This window comes from Homo sapiens, chromosome 12, assembly GCF_000001405.40.
Source record: "Homo sapiens chromosome 12, GRCh38.p14 Primary Assembly".
Lineage (NCBI taxonomy): Eukaryota > Metazoa > Chordata > Mammalia > Primates > Hominidae > Homo > Homo sapiens.
In genome coordinates this window covers 82,213,248-82,231,458 of record NC_000012.12, presented here as the reverse complement: position 1 = coordinate 82,231,458, position 18,211 = coordinate 82,213,248, and the positions used below count along the sequence as shown (strand labels likewise).

General features: G+C 36.0%; 1 long non-coding RNA gene across 2 annotated transcripts in view; it reads left to right on the top strand.

Moving 5' to 3' along the window:
• Nucleotides 1–18,211, top strand: part of LOC105369873 (uncharacterized) — a 173,421-nt gene that overhangs the window by 76,857 nt on the left and 78,353 nt on the right. For both annotated transcript variants that reach the window (XR_001749232.1, XR_945149.4), the window contains exon 2: nucleotides 7,765–7,846. This is a non-coding gene — a long non-coding RNA (uncharacterized LOC105369873). The remainder of the gene's footprint in view (nucleotides 1–7,764; nucleotides 7,847–18,211) is intronic.

The following is an 18,211-nucleotide window of genomic DNA, read 5'->3' as shown; positions in this document are numbered from 1 at the left end:
GATATTAATGTATCAGAGCGATTAGCGGAATTTTGCAGGCAGTTAAATGATGCTAGTTTTCACATAAACATCATTAGATGCTTAAAATAGGAAATCAGTTAATTTCCATAATGATTCCCTTTTAAAAAACTTAATTTCATGGAATCAAAGTAAATCTTTTGGAAGCCGATTCTCTCATAGTTTATATGTTTAACATTATTATATTGCTATTGTAAATTTAGTTGACAAGTTTGAAACTCTATTTAAAATGGTTATTGCAGTGATACTGTAGCTAAAATTTTTTGTGTAGAGAACAGTATTGTCATTAAAAGACTGCTATAACTAAATTAAGAAAACGACAAAGTGAAAATTTACTTGGTATTTTTACGATACACATTAATTTGCCAAAATTTGATGAATATTTTAAACGTGTACACACTTAGAGTAACAACTGCAAGATGTCTGTGACAAAATTGATGTTGAGTACAACTAAACACTTCAGCCTGCCAATAAGTTTCTTTCTCTCTTTGCTGTCCAGCATTGTTCAGACTTCAGAAATGCTTGAGTCTTTGAAGAACTGCCTTGTCATTCAACCTAAGTATCTTACTGTGGTAACAAACTTTTTTTTTTTTTTTTTTTTTTTTGAGACGGAGTTTCACTCCTGTTGCCCAGGCTGGAATGCAATGGCATGATCTTGGCTCACTGCAACCTCTGCCTCCTGGGTTCAAGCGATTCTCCTGTCTCAGCCTCCTGAGTAGCTGGGATTACACGCGCATGCCAACATGCCCGGCTAATTTTTGTATTTTTGGTAGAGACAGGGTTTCAACATATTGGTCAGGCTGGTCTCGAACTCCTGACCTCAGGTGATCCACCCGCCTCGGCCTCCCAAAACACTGAGATTACAGGTGTGAGCCACTGAGCCCGGCCGGTAGCAAACTTTTAAATAATGACTTCCCTAAATCTTGGTTACATTTCCCTGAAAAATCAATGAGAAATCTTGAATTAAATATTCAACAAGTGGAATGCCAAGAGTCTCCATCTTTTGGAGAATAATTGAAAATAAATCTTATAAACAGAATTATTGAAAATAAAGCTTAAAAGCAGGATTGTTTGGAAATTTCTCAATATAAAAGCAAAGGAATAAATGAACAATTTAAATAGTAGGAGTTCAAACAGCAAGTAAGATTTAGTTTGAAGTTCTAGAATTGCTTTCGGAATAAGCTGATTTTGATGGAACTCCCATTTTCGTGGACTAATTTAGATTCTGTACAAGAATAGAATGAAGCTTGAGAAGGCCTATAATTTTGCAAGATCTAAATTTGGCAAAACATCTAAAACAATTATAAATAGCAATGAGTTACTTGATCAGTTTTTTACGTAAAATATTTTTCAGACAAATTCTCTGACTGCAGGTAAAAAAGATGTGCTTGCAAAATATTTGTGATTACTCATTTAAATACAAAATATTGAACTAAGAATGTCCTTCATTTGGTAGAATTCACTTTGGGTTTATCAGTTGTTCCATCCCTATAAAAAGAATATTTTCCTAATAAAAATCATTGTGATTACAGAAAATATTCTATTGATGATAGCAACAATTTCAAATTTATTCACATTATATTTGGTTTTGAAGAAGACTGCAGAAAATTTTACAAAAAAATAAATATATGACCATTGAAATACAGTATTTGGAAAAATGCCAGTGACATGGTTTTGGGATAGATACAACTAAGAAACTGATTAAAAGTACATGCATATGTACCAACAAGGTTTACACTGCTTATTTTATTTTTTAATATTCTGATAGCCAAGATAAAGTAGATTTCCCCCTTTTTGTACATTTTTATATGTTATTTTTACTTTCTAAGTAGAATTTTATTTTAAAATTAGTTTTAAATGAAAATATATAGGTCCACCAGTATAATAAAGCCGAACTTTAGCACATAAATATTTCAAATATTTATATTAGTTTAATTATTTTAGAGACCTATATTTACTGTTGGAGTTGCTTCAGTTCAGATAATAAATAATGTGGTCTCTCTAACTAATGGTGGTAAATAATAAGGAAATGAAATAAGAGATGGAGGCAGGAGGCAAAATATGAAACTGAAGGTGAGGGTAAGGGGTTTTGATTCTGTGGAACAGACAGACTAGGGAAGAGCTACTTCTCTTACAATTTGAGGTGCAGGAAATTGAGCTAAGATTGAGTTTACCTATGCCTGGAATATTCTATTAACACAATAAGGTTCTAGTTTGAACATGAAAATAATGACGATAATTATAATGTTCTTCCAAACTCTTCCAATACTTTTAATTAATGAGAAGTTTAGTAAGAATAAGCTTTTTGTCTGAAAGCTTACTATGCATCATATTTTAGTTCATTACAGCATTGCATTGCCAGCACCTTATCAGTAAATTAATCATAATCCCATACGATTTTGCAGTCTGATAAAGAACTTACATATGTTTACCCACAACGTGGTACTCAGACCTGAATTCAGCTGACCATCCTCCCTTCTTTTTCTATTTGTTTTATTGGACTTAAGGCATTTGACAATTCCTTTTTTTTTTTTTTTTTTTTGAGACAGAGTCTTGCTCTGTTGCCCAGGCTAGAGTGCAGTGGTGTGATCTCAGCTCACTGCAACCTCCACCTCCAGGTTCAAGCGATTCTCCTGCCTCAGCCTCCCGAGTAGCTGGGAATACAGGCATGTGTCACCATGCCCAGCTAATTTTTTGTATTTTTAGTAGAGATGGGGTTTCACTGTGTTCGCAGGATGGTTTCGATCTCCTGGCCTCGTAATCCACCCGCCTCGACCTCCCAAAGTGCTGGGATTATAGGCATGAGCCACTGCGCCCGGCCAACAATTCTTTTTCCTTATACTGTCTTAGCATAATCCTTCTCACTCAGGTGTTTGCTGCTTAATCTGTATTTGGTTTTAGAATGGCCTGGGCATAAATGTGACATTTATTCTTATCCAGTAATTTTTCAGCCAGCCTTTTGGCTTAATTTTGGCTCTACTGTTCTATGAGAAATTTTCAATATTTAAGCAGCAAAACAACAATTTCAATAGGTGAATTTCAACTTATTGCTTCTTGTCTCATTTTTTACCTTTCTTGCCACTGTTAAATACATTGGGAATCTCTTTTTTCCTTCCTTATTTTCCTAAGTATAGGCAGTCCCAGGGTATCCTGTAGTAAAAATAATTTTTATGACTTTCATATCCTAGGTTTGTCTTAAGTGGCTTCATGTTATATTAAATTATTGATATGTAATATTATTGAGCACTGTCTACATTCCAGATTATTTTCTATGAGTTTTACAGTTATTAACACATTTTACAGTTATTAACTCATTTTTCAAATAACACTATAAAGTAGATGCTGTCATCATCCTCATTTTACAGATAAGGAAACAGTTACCACTTGTTTAAGAAATTTCCCCATAGGCACAGATAGTAAATGTTCATGTCAGAATTTAAGTTCAGGAACTCTTGTCTAGTATACTATACTGCTTTTTACATTTAATTCAGGTAAAGAATGGCTAAAAAAGAAAGAATGGAGAATTAACAGAATGTAGAACCAAATAGGGCAGAAGCAGTAATCCCAGTGAAGGAGCTAATCATCAGTTATTTGATTTAAATAGGTATGTGTCGATTTTAGAACATTTTCTGGCAAATAATAAACATTCCAGAGAAGTGTCAAAATGGTGTAGAACTTTGGGGATCAAGTTTCTACACCGTGATGGTTTTAGAAGCATAATATTGGAAAGATCCCCAACCCAGGATAGGTGGTTTCAAAGCTAGAAGGGGAAAATGGGGACAGGCCAGTCCCTAAGCAATAGGGCTTAGAGAAAGAAGAAAAGAGAGCATGCATCATTCAGTAATCTGAGGTACCTATCAGGACCCTCTTTTTTCAAGGTAGAAATAACCTGGAAGACAAGAGTCAAGGAAAGCTCTGAAATAACAAAGGCCCATTCAGGAGGGGCTCAAATAGGTGGCTTCCTCTAGAAACATTCCAGTGAAACTACTACTTATTATCTATGTTCAATATTTGTTGGTATAGCAGGAAACTTCCACATTTTTGTTACTGATTGCAGGCTCATCATAATCAGCTAGGATAAGGCTCTGATTGTGATAATTATGATAATACTAAGAAAACTTTATTATGCATGCAAAATAATCATATTCCAGGCATCTCAAGTGTCTCAATATTTTGTTAATGTAAAATAATGTAAAATTCCAAGAAAATAGTAAATACCCTTAATAGATAATCATGCACATTTATTGCATATGCTAAAAACCAGATTTTCCATAAATGCTGACTCTTTATATATGAAGTTTTCAGTAAATTGAATATGTATGATAACTAATTGTACAAAAATTTCATTTCTAACCTTATAGAATATAAACCAATTTTAATCTCTTTGAATATATTTCAGCTCGTATATATAATAGAACAAATGGAAAAAAGTGAGATAAAGGAGTCTCAGAATAAAAAAACAATTTTTTCCTTAAAATTCAATTATGTAAAATGAATTTGCTTTGCAACAAGAAAATGTTCCACTTTTAGCCTGTAAGAGCTTAACATTTTGGCAATAATAGCTGTGGTGCACAAAATAATACTATTTGAGCAAGATCAAGAGAAGGGACATCCTCAAGGGATGTAAGGTTCTAAATTCTTTGGAAATTTTAGATGATTTCATAGGCAAAGTTTATTCATTGACTGTATGTCACATGTTTTCCCATTGTCTGAGGCAAGTAATATATATAATATTTGTGTTAAAATGGGTTTCTTTCGTATATATACATATTATATCTATTGTATAAGATATATAATAGGAAGAATGTTAATTATTAGGCTATAAATATTATTACAGCTTCTAAATACATATCATTATAATTTAAAGTCTTTCAAGTTTTTTGTTGTTGTTATTTTTAAACTAACGATATATTTTGGGAGCCGACTATCACTTTTAAAATACAATATGTAGACAGAAATATTTTTCTTCAGGTGAAGTGGCCCTAACAAAAATATAAATCTCTGTTCTTGGAGATTGAAATAATGTGAGATACCATTTTTCACCTATTAGATTGCAGAAACTAAAACTCTTAATGATACCCTGTATTGGCAGGGATATACTGGGCGAAAATTCACTCTTATATACTGTTTGTTTGAAAACGATTGGATTGGTACAATTTGTTGGAGAGGCTTTTGTCAACAGACTAATCACTTAGGAATGTTTTGGCTGCAAGTAACAGAAAATTTGACAATGTGGCTTGAATAAATAAGGGTTTTTAAAAAATACTTCAAACAATATGAAGTTAATTGCTGGTTCAGCAGGTTGATGATAACCAGCACCACCTCTTCTGTGATTTCATTAGCCTGCCCCTCATGCATGTCACCCCATGGGCTCCAAACAGCTGATTCACACATTTTGTTGACTCACACATTTTTCTCTGTTGCCAAAAACAAAGAAAAGGAGAAAGGGAGAAGGGCTATGCCAGCTTTTAGAAAAAGAAGGAGATCTCTAGACATTTCCCCTCAAAAGACTTTTGCTCATGTTTCAAGGGTCAGATAAAGTCCTATGGCCATTCCTAGATTTAAAGGAGACTGGGAAAGCAAGAATTTGATTTCCTGTTGCTCTAGTGGGAGGTGACAAAGGAGAAGTAGGTTGAGGATGGCTTTACAATGACCAATTAACAGCATCTATAAAATTATAAAAACTATTTTAAGAAATACATTTCCTTTGATTCAGCAATTTCACATTCACAAATGTATTCTTCAGATATATTTTCAAGGATATAGTACAAAATGTTCAATGAACGTTTTTCTGGTTGTTTGGAATTGTATAAAGCTGAACATTTGAAGAAAATTGATAATAATTACTTCAAGATGCATCATTTTTGCCCCAACACACACACTCATCAACAGAGCTTGAAAACATAAATTGTTCCCCTGGCTCTTGCTGTAGATGGGTTTTCTCTCTCATCCAAGAAAGAGGGCTCAAAAAGATTTACTTGTAATAGGAGTGACAGTAAAAATTATAGGAGAACAAGATCATACTTCATAGCAGGATGCTTGCTGAGTTGCAAAAATTTGTAGGCTTATATTTAAGATAGGCCTACAAAAATAAATTAGAGAATTAGAATCTCTTGAATTGTGGTGTTTGGAGCTCAGTGTGAAAGGTGTCATAATGAAACAATTGTTTCATTTATGCTGGGGGAATTCTGAATTATGGAATCTGGCTGATTGTAATGAAAAAATACAATCCTTTCTCCTTATGTTTCAAGGTAGGAAGCATTAAACTAGATCTTCATGGTCCAATATGGTAGCCAGTGACTTGTACCTCTCATGAGTGTTTTTTTTTTCTTTTTTCTTTTTTTTTTTTAATTATACTTTAAGTTTTAGGGTACGTGTGCACATTGTGTAGGTTAGTTACATATGTATACATGTGCCATGCTGGTGCGCTGCACCCACTAACTCGTCATCTAGCATTAGGTATATCTCCCGATGCTATCCCTCCCCCCTCCCCCCACCCCACAACAGTCCCCAGAGTGTGATATTCCCCTTCCTGTGTCCATGTGATCTCATTGTTCAATTCCCACCTATGAGTGAGAACATGCGGTGTTTGGTTTTTTGTTCTTGCGATAGTTTACTGAGAATGATGATTTCCAATTTCACCCATGTCCCTACAAAGGACATGAACTCATCATTTTTTATGGCTGCATAGTATTCCATGGTGTATATGTGCCACATTTTCTTAATCCGGTCTATCATTGTTGGACATTTGGGTTGGTTCCAAGTCTTTGCTATTGTGAATAATGCTGCAATAAACATACATGTGCATGTGTCTTTATAGCAGCATGATTTATAATCCTTTGGGTATATACCCAGTAATGGGATGGCTGGGTCAAATGGTATTTCCAGTTCTAGATCCCTGATGAATCGCCACACTGACTTCCACAATGGTTGAACTAGTTTACAGTCCCACCAACAGTGTAAAAGTGTTCCTATTTCTCCACATCCTCTCCAGCACCTGTTGTTTCCTGACTTTTTAATGATCGCCATTCTAACTGGTGTGAGATGGTATCTCATTGTGGTTTTGATTTGCATTTCTCTGATGGCCAGTGATGATGAACACTTTTTCATGTGTTTTTTGGCTGCATAAATGTCTTCTTTTGAGAAGTGTCTGTTCATGTCCTTCGCCCACTTTTTGATGGGGTTGTTTGTTTTTTTCTTGTAAATTTGTTTGAGTTCATTGTAGATTCTGGATATTAGCCCTTTGTCAGATGAGTAGGTTGCAAAAATTTTCTCCCATTTTGTAGGTTGCCTGTTCACTCTGATGGTAGTTTCTTTGGCTGTGCAGAAACTCTTTAGTTGAGTGTTTTAAAATGTGGCCAGTCCTAATGAAATGTGCTGAAAATGTCAAATGCACATCAAATTTTGAAGACTTAGTACAAAACAAGAGTATTAGACATCATTAATATTTGTATACTGATTATTCTATGAAATAGTAATATTTTGGGATACTGGGTTAAATAAAAATGTATTACTAAAGTTAATTTTACTTGTTTCTTTTTCCTTTTTAATGTGGTTACTAGACAATTTAAAACTGTATATGTGACTAGCACTTGTTGTTCATATTGCATGTATAGTAAGACAAAGCTGAACTAGATAACGTTTTGCTTCTCTCTTCATTTCTCTCATTTCTTTATTTGGAAAGAGGAGAATTTATCTGATGAGCCTGCACAAAGTTTCTGACTACACTAACTACTCTTTCTCCAGTCTTTGGGAACCAGCCTGCACATAAGATGCATGCCTTAGCATTTGCTCTTCTGCCAAGGACGAAGCAGCCTGTTCCGTGGGGGTGAGTACCGCAGTTTGCCAGCAATGCCTATGACTAGGTAAGAGTTCTGTTTAATTTGGGCTTGATGCATTGGCAAGTACTACTGGCACAGCTCTAAGCTATTTCCTTCAAACAAGCTTTCATTCATAATAATACTAATACTTAATCTCCATCTTCATCTTTTTCACTTCTACATGTATGTCAGTTCGCTTTGATTTCAGATAGGGAAAGGATTAATATTTATCAGGACTTTTTAAACCCTAGAGACTGGCAAAGAGAAAAGATAGCAGAGGAATAGTCTGTACTCCCAACAATTAGCATGTCATAGATGCATGCGTTTGCTGTCAATTAACTGATTGCTGTGGAAGGTAATTCAGTTTGAGTCATTTCAACCTAATATCAGTTAAAACAATCAGTTTTGGGGGTAAGAGGATTCTAACAATAAGAGGCTGTGCAGTGCACTACTTCCAAGAGCTGTGGCTATAGAGCCAGAAGATGGAGAATGATGGGGTGAAGAATTGTAAGAGGTCATGTGAGTACACTACTCCTGTCTTGGAACTGTGCAAATTAGAGATACCTGTGAAGGTCTTTCAAACAATCCACATTTGGTGGCTGCCTCATTAAAGAACCTGATTGTTAGATTACAACAGCACAAATCACCTAACAAGTGGTTTCTGTTTTTTTCCAACTCCTTTTTTTTAGGTCTTAGTTATTGAGAGAAGAGAGATCCAACAGTAGCAGAGTAAGATGAGAATAAGAAAGAAAAGCAAAAAAATAGATAGTCTCCCCCTTCCCTACTTGTAAGTCATGGTTCTAGTCTTGAATTGATTGTGAAATTGAAATTTCTATTCAATTTATCTATGACATATTTTAATGCCTGAAAGCAAGTAGTGAAATTGAATGAGACGAGAAAGCTAAGGGATTTGCCTGAAATGTCCTTGAGGAGTAGGAATGGGAGGAGTGTTGGCCAGTGATGATCAAACTTTAATATGCATCAGAATCACTTGGAGGGCTTGTTAAAACACAGACTCCTGGTCCCACTCCCCGAGTTTCTGATTCAGGAGGTCTGCGAGGACGGCCTGTGAGGTCTGAGAATTTGCATTTCTATGTTTCCAGGTGATATTGATGTTGATGTTGATAGTCCAGAGACCATACTTTGAGAACGACTGTTAAAGGTAGTAGGAAGATAATAACAAAACAATATCCTTGTTTTTATTCAATGAGTTCAGTGCATTCAATAAGCCAGTTTCATAAACAAAGATATGTGTATAAGAAATATTGCAGCCTGGTCAGGTGCAGTGGCTCACGCCTGTAATCCCAGCACTTTGGGAGGCCAAAGCAGGTGGATCGCCTGAGGTCAGGGGTTTGAGACCACGCTGGCTAACCTGGTGAAACCCTGTCTCTACTAAAACTACAAAAATTAGCTGGGCATGGTGGCGGGCACCTGTAATCCCAGTTACTCGGGAGGCTGAGGCAGGAGAATCGCTTGAACCAGGGATGCAGAGGTTGCAGTGAGCCGAGATCACACCATTGCACTCCAGCATGAGTGAGACAGTGAGACTCCGTCTCAAAAAAAAAAAAAAAAGAAAAGAAAAAAGAAAAGAAATATTGCAGTCTTAGTTGTAAAAGCAAAACATACCCATAAATATGGGATTGAATAAATTATGGTATATGCATAGAATGGAATATTATATAGTTATAAAGATATATGATTATATCAAATATATCTAATACATAATTTTAAGATGAAAATAAAGTACCCCAACAATGAGCATAGTATAATCCCATCTTTGTAAATAAATGTATGTTTGTATGTGAATTGAAATCAAACAGAATAATACATAAGAATTTGTTGGCTGGGAGCAGTGGCTCATGCCTGTAATCCCAACATTTTTGGAGGCTAAGGCAGGCAGATCACCTGAGGATGGTAGTTCGAGACCAGCCTGACCAACATGGACTAACCCTGTCTCTACTAAAAATACAAACTTAGCCAGGCGTGGTGGCACATGCCTGTAATCCCAGCTACTCAGGAGGCTGAGGCAGGAGAATTGCTTGACCTCGGGAGGCGGAGGTTGCAGTAGCCAAGATCGCGCTATTGCATTCCAGCCTGGACAAGAGCGAAACTCCATCTCAAAAAAAAAAAAGAATTTTGGCTATATCTTGGTATGAAGTCAAATAGTAGAGAATAAAGTAAGTTTGACTTTGAAATTTATATTGTTCTAAATATTATATCAAAGACATAGGAGTACTTTTAAAGACTGCGTGCCTTTGCATATATTAGTCCTTCCAAGCTTGACGTTCTTCTATCACTTCTTTGAAAAATAGTAGCCCATTCAAGTATCTCATCACCTTTGCCAACTATCTTTTTTCATGTAAGGTAATATGTTTACAAGTTGAAAAGATTAGGGCATGGGTACCCCTAAATTAAGGGCAATTTTCGTTCTTTGTTTTGCATCCTTAACCTTTATCAGGGCCAACCAATATGTTTTTAACCACATTTTTTAACTTGAATGTGTGGGTGAAAGCCAGAAGAAAGAAAGAGGATGGCAGTGGATACAGGGAAAGAGGAAAGAAAAAAAGAAAAAAGGCAGGAGGAAGGTAATAATATATCCCCAGCAAAACTTCACATTATCAGTAGAGCCTGTACCATGTCCAGTACATAAAAGTTACCTGCTTAGTATATTACAGCATACATATAAGACACACTTAAGAAATGTTTTGAATAGAATTGAATCATAATAGTTTTTAATTTAGCTATTAATAAATTCACCAGTGACTCATCAAGAGAGGTGATTATAATGAAGTTCAGTAAATTGTTACCTTGGATAGCTGAGAATAAAATATTTGGCTCATCAATTTTTCTGGTTAGGTTATAGTCCTTATGGTCCTTCCTAATTTTAATGTCCTAGAATAAAATAAAATAAGCGCTTTAAATAATTTAATTTTTTGATGATTAAAAAGAAAACCCTGAAAGTCTTGAAGTGAGTCATATTATCACTATATTTATTGTCCAGGATAATGCCACCTAACTAGAGAGACTCTTTTTAACAATAAACCGGATAAATCAAATTCTAATGTATGTTAGTTGGAAAAATTGGCTGTCTATTCTACAAACATCGTTTGACTTCACAGATGCCCTAGTCATTTCTAGATTTAGGTATCCTCTCCCTAGGACAAATATTAGAGGGTAAATGGAATTTGTTATGTATTGCTTTCAGAGCATACTGATGAGAAGATCATCTGTTTTAGTCATCTTGGTTGGGTTTTATGGGTATATCCTTGAATAAAATGCAAAAGACTTACTCAGCAGCAGATAATTACCAGAGCAAGATGGTTCACAGAACATATGAGAAAATGTGTTATCCTTGATGAAAACATTGCAGGATTTCTCAGCCAGTCAGGGATTATGGTCATAAAGTTGCTTTCTTGGCAGTTTTAGATTTTCTTCTACTAACAATGCTTGTAGATCTCTTTGTAGGATTGTTTGTAAGTTTAAAGCTTTTCCTGTCCGTTGTTGTTTTCATGGAAGACAATCTAAAAACTTTCACTTAAAGCTAAGCCCTGCAGCAATATATTTATTGGTAAGCTTTTTTTTTTTTTAATCTGAGAGAAACAGTCTTAGTTCCTTTAAGTTAGGATTTCAATTCCAAACGCACTATAGCAATTTACCTGAAGTGCTTCACTGCTATGGTAACCCACAATTCTAAAGTGCATAGATGATATTTGTCATGCTCTATTTCTCAGTTTGTGTACAGGAGTGTGCTTTGTGCAACCTCCTGAGAGTAAAGTTGGTGGGGCTAGACAAGAGGTAAGAATAGAGGATTGGGGATGGGTTGTCTGGCTTTCAATTTCCTCAGTTCTTACTCCTCCTCCAAATTGCTATGTCTGATTTGGAACATTTTTCTTAATGCCAAATAAAATGAAATATTTATCCAGTCTACCGCCGATGGGCATGTATATTGATTTCATGTCTCTGGTATTGTGAATAGTGCTGTGATGAACATACACATGCATGTGTCTTTATAGTAGAATGAGTTATATTCCTTTGGGATTTACTGGGTCAAATGGTAATTCTGAAGTTCTCTGAGAAATTACCAAACTACTCTCCACAATGGCTGAGCTAATTTCCATTCCTACAAGCAGGATATAAGTGTTCCCTTGAGATATCATCTTATACCAGTCAGAATGGCTATTATTAAAAAGTCAAGGCCGGGCGTGGTGGCTCACGCCTGTAATCCCAGCACTTTGGGAGGCCGAGGTGGGCGGATCACAAGGTCAGGAGATCGAGACCATCCTGGCTAACACGGTGAAACCCCGTCTCTACTAAAAAATACAAAAAATTAGTCAGGCGTCGTGGCGGGCAACTGTAGTCCCAGCTACTCGGGAGGCTGAGGCAGGAGAATGGCATGAGCCCGGGAGGCGGAGCTTGCAGTGAGCCGAGATCGTGCCATTGCACTCCAGCCTGGGCAACAGAGCGAGACTCCGTCTCAAAAAACAAAAAAAAAAAAAAAAAAAAAAGTCAAAAAATGACAGATGCTGGTGAGGTTGCACATGTACACCTGAACCTAAAATAAAAGTTAAAAAAAAAGAAAAAAGAAACACCACTGAAGATTACTAATTTAATCACAAATTCAATTTCCCCTCCCAACAATATTTAACAAATTGGCTGCAAACAAAAAATGGAATTATTTTCTTATCTCACTGTCACGATTTCTCTTTTTTTTCTTTCTGATAAATGGGCCCCCACATAATAATAATGAGGGAGGAATTTTCTGGATTATTCACAAACTGGACAATGTACTTCTGAACCACCTAGAGTGAGAACAAGATGAATAAATTTTCTACACTTAAAAAATGTGCATCACATGGTAATTTATTTTAATAACATATTTTCTTATCATAAATATTGTTCTTTGTATTACACGTTTTGCTCCTATCAGTTTGCCAGTAGAGATAATTGTTTGCCTCAGTGAGGAGGCAAAGAGCTAACTTTGGGAGATCGAGATAGAAGAGCTAAAAAAGGAATTAGAAACTCTTGATGGTGATTAGTACATAATATGACATGACAAAGTATGACTTTTGTATGACCTAACACTCATAGCATTTCTTTGCTCTTAAAGTTTTATCTGGATAAAACATCCTTGATGTTTTTATATTAAGAAAGAACAAATAGAATTGTCATTTTTATATTACATTTTGTTTCTGATTTCCTGTGTCATGTTCTGTTATGGTTCCAATATTTAGAGTCTGGTTTCTCTGTGAGTGGTCCCCAAACAATGAATTATTTCCTTCTGTAATTTTCTGACTTTATATTTAATGCAACATATAGCAAACAGGCAATAAGCTCCATGTCATGTATATACTGGCTGAGAAAAATTCTTATTTCTTTCCATTTCTCTTTAAAACTATAAGAGATTTATTTTCATTCTTAGAGGTGTCATTTCTATAACTGCAAAGTGAAAGAAGACACATAAATGCTATAGTTCTTAGAGAAAACTTGATAAACTGTTTACCAAAACATCTCTGGGGAGTCAAATTGCTACTTTAGAATATATTTGTCTTCAGGAAGTAGAATGTAATTTTAAAAACTTTTTTGTAATAATGGTCTAGTCTGCACTATGAAGAGTGCTTACATGGGTAGAAAATTCTCCTGTTTCAATTATCTATATGAATTTAAAGACAAAACAAAACTTGACTTGTTTATATCTTTCAGATGTTTATTCTAACAAATATTGATTGATTGATTGGTGTATGAGAAAACAAATCATACATAAACCCTCTCCTCAAAGAAATTATATATGAGGGCCCTACGCCACGCACATAAATAACTAACATACCACATAGAAAGCATTAAATCAGAAGAGGATATAGGCAAAATGCAATGAAAATTTAGAGAAAGATGAACTCATTTTAGATAGATACCAGAGATTTTTATGAAGGAGACTGATTAATTAATTGAATATTTACCTACTATATTCCACAGAAGACAGGTACAATTCTTTCTCTTACAATTTGATTGAAGTTAGCAGTTGAGTTGGGCTTTTAACATCAAGTAGGACCTAGAAGCATACAGATAGAGGAAATGATAGTTACTTGACTTTTCTCATCTATCTATCTATCTATCTATCTATCTATCTATCTATCTATCTCTCATTTCCAAAGTTGGACTGCCTAGAGTTGAAACTTCAACTTGATTTTTTGAATATTTAAAAAAATATTGACAAAATGAAAAAGGGATTTATGATCTATCTTTGTCAGAGTCATAATTTCTAACTCCTGGGAAATGCTTGATCTATAGGATTAGTTCTGTTCTGCATATATGGAGAGGTGTTACCTTGTGGAATCAAGGATCACCTGATTGCCACCTTGCCTTCCCTGACCTTAACTACCACCAGTATTTTAGCAGGGGGAAATATATTTCTGTCACCTAAATCTTAACCTGAAATGTATGCTGCTATGAAAAAAGTATATAAATGGAGGCTTCATGAAGATGAAACAATGGTATTAGTATTGCTTTAGTCACACTGTAGTGAAATTCTCTTTTGTCAGATAGAAGCAAACATATAGCATTATTATCTTGAAAAAAGATAAAAGAAAGGACATCCAAATAGGAAAAAAGTAGTCAAATTGTCCTTGATGGTAGATGATATGATTTTATATTTAGAAAATACTAAAGACACCACCAAAAAACTATTAGAATAGAATATCAAATTTAATAAAGTTGCAGGATACAAAATGGACATACACTAATCAGTAGTATTTCTATATGTCAACAGTGAACAATCTGAAAAATAAATCAAGAAAGCAACACCATTTAAAATTGATACAGATACTTCTTGGTCACTTTGCCAGCCAAGGACCTCTGGCTGGTGACACCCCTGCCTGGGCATTGCTTGGCCATGCTACCTGCCACAGGCAGTGGCCTGCCAACTCGGCCCACCCAGGTTGCGTCTGGCTGGCACACTGGCTCAGGACACGACTGCCATGGATGCATGCTCACACCCTGGTAGGAGGGGTTGTGTGGGCAAGTGAGTGTGGGGTCCGGATGAGTGTTCCAAGTGCCAGCATAAAGCCAGGCTCCATGCAAGGCTTTCAGCTGGACCAGACATGTCACCCCACGGGGAACACAGTGGTGCCCAGCCAGCGATGTCCATGACCCCAAAACCCCAGAAGGGGTGTTACAATGTGCTAAGTAGCTCTTTTAGTTCCACCATCCACAGCCTGATGGATGGTGATGTGTTAACAGCTCTGTCAGTCCCTTGCCCCACTCTGGCTCATCGTTCTAAGGCTGGCTCAGTCCTGCTGCTGCTTCCCGTCATGAGGGACAGAGGGCCACAGTGTTTACAGCCTTCTCAGTACCCACGTTCGGTGGGTTCCGAGTTCTTATCCCGCATCCAAGAAGAATGAGGTTATGCTGACAATTGAAGGGTGATGAGGGTGGAGAATCTTACTGAGTAACAAAACAGCTGTCAGTGCAGAGGGGATGGGAAGGTGGTCTCTCACCTGAAATTGGGTTATCTCCCGCACTGTGACTGAATCTGGGGTTTTTATAGGCACAGGACGGGAGAGGGGTAGGCTGTAAGTAGTACTGGAAAAGATTCATTTGGATTCTATGAAAAGGATCATAGTATTGGAAAAGGAAAACATACAATTGGTTACAAAGCATTATTCAGAAAGAACCAATCGGGAAAGAACAGGCAAACAGGAATAGAAGTTCTAACTCCGGATTGCAGGTTTCATCCAGAACCAGCAGTCCGGTCTTTTAGGCTTCAGCCTGTTTTGGCTTGAAGGTGGGGTTTCACCAGGGACCCTCCCCTATCTGCCTAGGCATTTGTCTGCCTCACGCTGCTATCAATTTCTTCCTCTGAAGAGGTACATCTAACTGTCATTAGGATAGGAACGATGACCAATCTTAACTGCTTCCTGCTAACAGGGGGCACTGTTTTGGGAAGATGGCAGTCAGATCTCTCTCAGAGGCCTATATAAGGGTCCCCAGTAAAAGGGAGCCAATGTCCAAGTCCCCAGTTGCATGACCGTTTGGAGTTTGACAGCCTGAAGGTAAGAAGAGGTAAACTGTGTTATTAGATGACATGAATCAAAATGAAACAAGGAGGTAAGAACAGCTTAAAAATCCTGAGACTGCTGACATGGCCAGATAACTGGTGGCTATAGTTATGCCTGCTAAGATTTTGGCGCATGAAGTTTGGCTTTGGTCATCTTTGGTCTTATTTTTTTGGTCAAAAAAGAAACCATCAGGTTATGGGTACCCTATTTACTCCTAGCACCTGGCAGGATTTGCAGGATTGCCCAGAACTAGAATATTGGTCCAGATTTTCACATTATCCATCCTTTTTGTTTCTTCTGAACTGCAGCTGAAGATCACTGGTTGGTTCACAGGAATAAGCAGGGTTAGTCTAAAATGCAGGCAAAAACTTAAAAACAGCTAATGAGACTGGAGTTTAATGACAAGTGTGTGATAAGTTTTTGAGACATATTTTTTCTCTCTCCAGTCCTCATTTTTGTTAAAACTAAATCATGATAGGACTGAGTTGTTTGCAAAATAAACTTTAGTCTTATACTTTGTCTGATTATTTGCATAAAGTGCAGCAAGAATAATTATTTTCACATGGGCTTTTTTAAATTGGCTTTGATGGAACACTGTTCCATAAGAAAACTCAGATAAAAGTTTTTGAAGCTGAGCCCAGCCATGGGTTTGTACCCTCAAATACCTATGAGTTGGACAAATTTCTCTCTTCCTGAGGACCCAAGATAACTTAGGCTCCTGGCCCTATTAGAATGTGACATTCTTTACTCACCACAGGTTAGGAACCCTGTAGGAGACTGTGTAGACAAGATATGAGGCCAGTTTTCCCAATCGGTTTTTATTGGCTCTGCAAGTCAAACTTAATTCCTTAAAGGGAAACACTTCCTTCTAGTCAAAGTCTTGGTAAAACAAGTGGTTTCTCCAACTGCATCCTGTTGCAAAAGAAAATGGATTCTTATTGCACTTTTGCAAATAACTATATTGCCATAAGTTAAGAAAACTCATAAATAGTTTCCAAATTCTGGAGAAACCAAGAAGAGAGAAACAAATATGCTCCAAATTTTGTTCACAGGAGTATACCTTCCTCAATTGTTAAAAGCTGTAAATAGCTCAAAATAAGATGTTTTCCTGACTGAAAAACAAACAATCAGCATTTGAGAGCACCTGTCAAATTCCTATAGCTGATTATAAGCCAGCTTTTGAAAAGAATCAAAACAAGACAACCATTGTCTGTGAATTACAAAATGTCTTCAACTAGTCACAGTCAAAAACATGATTGACAGAGAAATTTGGTTATTTCTGTGGTTTACAATAATGTAACATACTCAGACATTAGAATTTTAGAAATCTCACACAATTTTGGAACACATATTAGTATTATTCACTAAAGTATAACCCAAAGAAAGTTAAACATTATTTTTGTTTTGGCAATCCCATGTAACTAAACATGTCAAATAATCATGTTTACCTCTCTTTTGGATGCCCAGGGCCCCTCTGTAGCATTCAAAATTTAGGGATCAGAAAAACAACCTCGAAGCTGAAGTTTGATTTCAGGAAGCTAAAGATTTAAAACACTTGATACTATGAAATAGAATTCCAGGTTATCATGAGTCATGTATTTAGCCAAAGTGATGACTAAATTTTTTTTTAAAAAGGCAAAATCCTTTACTCATTAAGAGGGAAGACATAGCTTTCGAAACAATCTGTCTCTTGTCTTTCCCTTCTTTTTTTGGTAGTTTATTTGCAAGGCAAATAAAAGTCTTTCATTATCCTCTAATATTACATGAAAATCTTGTTTGAGAGAGAGCAAATTTCACCCTTGTATTAGTCCACTACTAATATCAATCCCAATATTTTATTTTTTAATGAAACCTTATAGACAAATCCATCCAATCTTAATCAATTTGACCATAAAGTGGGATTCTCATAGTCCCCTTACAAATTTTTGTAAAGAGCAGATAAGTGCCTTAAGAAAACCTTGTCATGCTTTTATTTCAATATTCAATTAGTGGAAAAACCAGATAATACCCTTGTGAATTTAGCCAATATGTTTATGCCAGAATTTCTTTTACAAGATTAAGTTTTGTAAACATTCCACAACTTGTTTAAACCTTTAGTTTTATTTTATCTAATTTAAAACATTCCTCTAACCCTTTAAACTAGGCAAAAACTTACATTCCCATGCCTTCTTATAATGTTTACTAAAAACACATTTTACATTCTTTAAGCCCTTTGCATGTAAATCTATTTTGAGTAGGCTCAATTATGTGTTATGATGGTGACTGTTAGCAATTTTTAATCTTAATGTAAAACTTGGTAAGTTATTTTTATTATGTACTAGG